This window comes from Homo sapiens, chromosome 5 (genome assembly GCF_000001405.40).
Source record: "Homo sapiens chromosome 5, GRCh38.p14 Primary Assembly".
Lineage (NCBI taxonomy): Eukaryota > Metazoa > Chordata > Mammalia > Primates > Hominidae > Homo > Homo sapiens.
In genome coordinates this window covers 4,942,167-4,948,293 of record NC_000005.10, presented here as the reverse complement: position 1 = coordinate 4,948,293, position 6,127 = coordinate 4,942,167, and the positions used below count along the sequence as shown (strand labels likewise).

Below are 6,127 nucleotides of genomic sequence, written 5' to 3'. Positions count from 1 at the left end.
CTCATCGAGGGACTATCCAGGCCTATGGATTGTATCAAGGGAACCTTGATTTCATTCATTAAGGCTATTTATTTCTCCCTTGGGGATTTTCCTCTCCAGCCCTCTAATTGAGCCATCCACCTGGGATTCCCAAAACATTCACTAAGAAGAGGCTGGAGGGGGCGTGAACCACATAAGCAGCCTGGGGATGAGACACCAGTCGTGACTGCCCCAGAAGACTCACACAGCAGAGGCCTCTGAATAATGAGAGAAAGGCGGCTCAGCATTTTATCACGAGTCTGTGTTGAATTCGTGACAAGTGACTAAATGAAATCTTTGACTCATTCCTGGCAAATTAAAATGTTTTACAAAGCAGCACCTCTTTATGCCAAATACATTATGCTCATTGCCAAACGTTGTGTGTTTTCCAGAGCAGAAGAGCTTGGCGTCCCCATGGACAGAGGTAAGGTGCTGACCACTCTGGGCATTCCAGTTCATCTCATCATGTTGGAGCTCATGATGCTAAATGCACTTGTCATTTCTTCATTAGTAGATGAGAAATATAAAAATACAATGTGTTTTGGAATTGAACAGTGTTATTCCTCTTCAGGGAGTTCACTGCAATGAGCGTGCAGTTGCAGACCTGGAAATATGATATTGAACATTCTATTTTGGCTCCTAGCCTTTCAGAAGTCAGAGGAAAGACAGTAAAATAGAATCGATTCATTCCTCAGAAAAAACGGGAAAAAGTATATTTTAAATCAGATTATGGAGAGCTAAAATAAGTTAGTCCTGTTGATAATAAGAAATATTCTTGTTAGTACAGTAGTGTTCTAGAAGTCTGGGGACTCAAGCTGTTATTGAGGAAGGGGCCTCACTGAGGTTTTATGCTGTTTGGGAAACACAGGGAAGCACCTTGGTCCCTTGGTTGAGTCATGAGGATGTCTTGTGCTGTGACTTCTGTCATGGTCACTGGGTGGGAGTGTCCTCAGCATAACAAAGGCAGAGCATTGGGTCAATGTGGTCACCTTTAAAGAGAAGATTAACCACTCATGTCTTCTACACACTCAAAAGGGAATTCTTGAGAAGAGATGGGCTTTATTTTAGATATTGTATGAGATAAGAGCAGCATTGTGGAAAGGAAGGTCCCCCGCCCACCCAACCCTGCTTCCTTTCTGGCCCACACTCTCCTTTCTCCCAGGCCTTGGCCAGGTGCCTTTGAGTCCCTCATGCACACCAAGCCTCCACCTGCCGCAGAAAATGCCTCCCTGGCAGTGGCAGCTGGGGCAGGGTCGGGACATTCACAATGCAGAAGAGGATGGGGATCCATCTCTGTAGCTTGGAAAGGAGAAATGGTGGGGGCAGAGACAGGAAATCTGGAAAAGGCCTAGGAAGGAAGATATTGAAGAAGAGGAACAAGAAAGGGGAATGCAGAGCTCGGCCATGTGCACTGCTCCACAAAGGCCTGGGAGCCTCGCAGGACAAACTTGCAGAGGTCTGAGCAATGAGGCTAGATCCCAGAAGGGCAGGAAGACTGGGAGACCGTACCTTCTGGAACCTGCAGGCGTCCAGCATGAGTTTGCTTTCAGAACAGTGTGGCTGTGCTCCTGGTAAAGGTACAGAAGGAGCTTCTCCTTCCTGCTCCAGGGAGAGGCTATGCTTGGGCTGCCCGGCTGGAGAAACACCAGACTCCATGTCCAGATCCTGCGCTGGGCTCGCTGCTGACAGTGGGAACGCTGTCTCTCAGGCCTGAGGGCTGGTTATGGAAATCCATAGGGGTCAGCTAGACCCTAAACAATCAGTAAGAGGGGAATGCCAATCCAAAAAAAAAAAAAAAAAAAGGAAACCAACCAAATAAACATACAAAAAGAGACTGATTTTCATCTCTCTAGTGAACACCTAAACATGTCCATGAAAAAGTCACAGGTAAAACTTTCTGCATGTCTAATCTCTTAGGCCATGAAACTAGGGGGGGGAGAAAGCCTATACTTGGTTTCTATTCCCTTTGGATAATAATAGGTTTGTGATATTAGCCAGACTATTAACTCCGCTTAGCCAATTTCCTTCTCAGTTGAATGGAAAAAATGATGGTGCTTCACATGGATATCACAGGTCCTGTGTAAGCTGTACAGCTAATTATCATGACTGTGATACTGTACATTGGAATCTAAAGTCCATTAAACACACTAATGCTTAATGAGCACTTACTACATGCCATGCTGTCTTTCAGGCATTTTGCTAAATTTTAAAGGTACTTACTCATTTAATTTTCACAAAAAAAGTCATGGAGTAGGTTCTTTTATTTTATTTATTTTTTATTTTTAGATGGAGTCTAGCTCTGTTGCCCAGGCTGGAGTGCAGTGGCGCGATCTCGGCTCACTGCAGTTTCCACCTCCTGGGTTCAATGGGTTCAAGTGATTCTCCCGCCTCAGCGTTTTGTTTTGTTTTGTTTTTTCTTTCTTTCTTTTTTCTGTTTTAGAGAAGAGGAAAATTAGGCAAAAAGAAGTAAAGTAACTTTCCTGAAGTAACTCAATACGTAAAAAAGCTAAGATCCTCAGCTCATCAACAAAAAATGGAGTTACATCCATTTAATAAGATAACAAATTCTAGAACTATTTTCTGTAGGGGTGCAAACAGCTTTATCTTTCTGTTAAATAACTTTTATAAGCCAATTAACTTAAGAACATCTCCACACATTTCCGTGAATCAAAACCTCCCCATTAACTGAAGGTTGCAATGTGTCTAACCAGGAATTTATAAAGCGCAGGTCAGTGGTGAAGCATATGGGCTTGGGAGCAGGTGGCCCAATGCCAATGGCAGGCATTGGGCAAGCTACGTGATTACTCTGTGCTTCCGCTGTCTCTCTCTCATTTGTAAAACAAGACGAAAGAACCCATCACGTGGATTTGTGGGGGGAAGAAAAGAGTTAACAAATGGCAACCACTTGCACCAGTGCCCAGCAGCACAGAGAGCATAGCAGATATTATATGCCAAGCACTGCACACCCGCAGATTGAACACTTAACATTATAAAAATAACAGGCACATACTTCTAGAAATAGTAATTAATAAGTCTAGTACTTTTATAAAACAGGAAATAATCAATGTGACAGGATCCTCTCAGAGGCCCGCATGTGTCCTGACAGCTAGGACAGAGCCAGGTGGTGATTTAGGAAAATGTAGGAAGCAGAGACTCCTGCATAACCCGTGCTGGCAAAGCCTCTGGAGGGAGGATGGACTCCTGAGTACCTACAGCTGGAGGTACCTATGACTCTGCAGGAAAAGTGGACTCATGAGTACTCAGCGCTGGAGAGGACTCTGGATGGAGGGAAGACTCATGAGTATCTACTGCTGGGGAGGACTCTGGAGGGAGGGTGGACTTGTGAGTACCCAGTGCTGGAGAGGACTCTGGAGGGAGGGTGGACCCGTGAGTACCCAGTGGAGGAGAGGACTCTGGAGGGAGGAGGGACCCGTGAGTACCCAGTGGAGGAGAGGACTCTGGAGGGAGGAGGGACCCGTGAGTACCCAGTGGAGGAGAGGACTCTGGAGGGAGGAGGGACCCATGAGTACCCAGTGGAGGAGAGGACTCTGCAAGGAAGAAGCATTCAGAATAACTGCTGCTGGAGAGAACAATTTCATTTCAGGAAAATGTTCTTATAGTTGCTCATTCCCATAAGCTAATATCTCTAATATATACACACATTCATGATTATAAATACTGTTAGAATACATAATACCTGTAGTACCTATATAATACTTATATGTTTGTGTACATATTTGAGTACAAAATATACATATGGACATAATGAGTGCAGAAGTTTTTGTAATCATGAAAACAGGAAATAATCCAATGCCAAATAAAATGGGAAGTTTAAGTAAATGATGCTCTTTTTGTCCACTCTCTGAAACACTAGAATGAGGAAAATGCAGGAATCTTGGACCTTGGACAACGGCTGGGAATTCTGACTCCTTATAAAACTGTTTCCAGAGTCCAGCATGTGCATGCTGCCATGAAGGTTTGGATCTATACATAAATATTATTGTATAAAATGGCTTGAGTTGCCATGTGGAGAAAGAGATACAAATATTCCGGATTCAGTCTCTGTTACTCTTAAGTTTCTGTGTTTGTGTTAACTTACCTCTAACCTGGGCAGCTGAATGGAGGTGGCAGTCAGTGACATCCTCCCCCTTCTTTTGGATCCCCTACCCCAGCATCTGGACTACTGTTGGACATGGGACAGACTTTTTGACTGATTATTTTGTTCATCTGTTATTTATGGTAAGTCTTATTTTGGGGAGCACTTTTTGTTATCTTGGAACGCTTGAAACCCTCCTTAGGTGTGAACTTCTGAGCAGATGCAGGCATCTCCTCCTGTCCAGCGGCAGTATGTCTTGCCTTGGGATTCAACCTTTGGCATTCATTCTTCAAAGCCCAGCCCCTTGCTTCTCAAAAGCCAATTCCACAAGTGTCTGCTGCTGAACACTGGGCACAGAGACCTGGGCAACAAGAGGCCGGCAGCCTGGGCCCCAGGCAGTGCTTCTGAGCAATGGCTGCATGTTGTCTTTTGTATTAATGAATTCTTTTATTTTCTGAATTCTGGTGCTTGGACATCCGGGGTCTTGCTGACCCTGGAGGTACTGCCCTTGCCAGAATGAGCTGGTTCTTAGAACCCAGGGCTGTGCTTTCCAAATCAAACCAACCACCTGGAGTCCATGCTCCAACCACCTTCTCTGTGGCCCTCACACTCCGGGCCACCATGCACCTGCCCAAATCACGCCAGGCGAGGGACCAGACAGGAAGGGACAGCCCCTCGCCCCTGAGCCTGCTAAAATGATTCAATGATTCAGGTTAGCTGATCTGAGCCTTCTCTGGCCCACGCTCCCCTCGCTCCCTTGCCCACCTGGTTGGCTGTGCGTCTCTGTGTGGCCAGGCGTGACTCCTCTGTCCAGGGATCTGCAAGGATAAACTTCTTTCTTCATGACAATCTTTCTGTGTCTGTGAGTCCCATCATCCCTGACTTAAAAAAAAATTCCAGGTACCATGGAAACACCTTTGGTTTACTCGAGACATAGTTCTCTCTATGCCTCAAGCCCCAGGGACGACTTTCTTCCTTCTGGTACTTCCCAGGCTCTTTCTCGCATTTCTTTTAGAAGTTGCCAATTCCCTTCCCCTCTCTGGCCTCTCCTGGCTTTCCCAGTCCTATGGGTGCCTGGCGCCCTGGGCAGCCACTCTGGTGCTGGCCCTGGGTCATGACCAGCTCCTCCCGCAGTGCGGGGCCTCCCTGCACCACCGTGGCCGTCCTGGACTGCAGGTCCCCCTCACGGTGCTCCCAGCCTATGGGTGAAGCTCCCAGCTCTACCTGGATGCTTGGTGTGGCTCAAGGCCAGCATTTACAAATGGCTGTAAGAACAGGCACCGCTCTGCAGGGGGAAGGGTGAGACAAACAAATGCTCACCTCTAAGCCCCTCCGCTACAGCAACCCTTCTCCTTTTGACAGCCCAGATTGTTAGCGTTGAATAAGATGTAGTGTTTGCTGGCACAGCAGGGTGGCTATAGTCAAGAATAATTCAAGTGTACATTTTTAAATAACTAAAAAGAGTGTAACTGGATTGTTTGTAACACAAAGGATGGATACTTGAGGGGACGGGTTCCCCATTTTTCATGTGATTAGAACACATTGCATGCCTGGATAAAAGCATCTCATGTACCCCATAAATATATGCTTCTACTATGTATCCACAAAAATTAAAATAAAAAATTGAACAACAAAAGAACAGCAGAAACCAGATTGTTAGCACCTGGGGACTGCGGGCCCGGCTGACCTGCAGTGCGTAGAGCGGCCCCTAGGTGGCAGCACAGCACCGGTCGCCCTGGGGGTAAAAGGGGCGCCCTCCTGGCCCAGGGTCCTCAGGGCAGGAGGGTCCCCGAGTGTCCCCAGGCCCTGCAGCCTGGGCAGCCGCGCGGGCGCCGTCTCCAGAGGGGAGGGGACCCAACGCCTCGGGAGTGGACTGAAGCTGGAAAAACAAACAAACAGACACCGAGCTTTTCCTGAGAAGGATTCCCAGCCGAGGAAGCGGGTGCTGCGATGGGACTTGGGGATGCCTGCAGGGCGAGAGAAAGGTGCTCCTGGGTGGCCTTCAAAGAGCCC

The 6,127-nt window shown here is 47.1% G+C and overlaps 1 annotated feature.

Annotated features, from left to right (window-relative positions):
* Positions 342-511: an enhancer, noted in NCBI's record as "experimental_85978 CRE fragment used in MPRA reporter constructs". NCBI's record gives its function as "activates a minimal promoter by MPRAs in K562 erythroleukemia cells, with activity observed for both the introgressed and non-introgressed 5:4947981 variant alleles {active_cell/tissue: K562}" and the evidence as "EXISTENCE:reporter gene assay evidence [ECO:0000049][PMID:34662402]".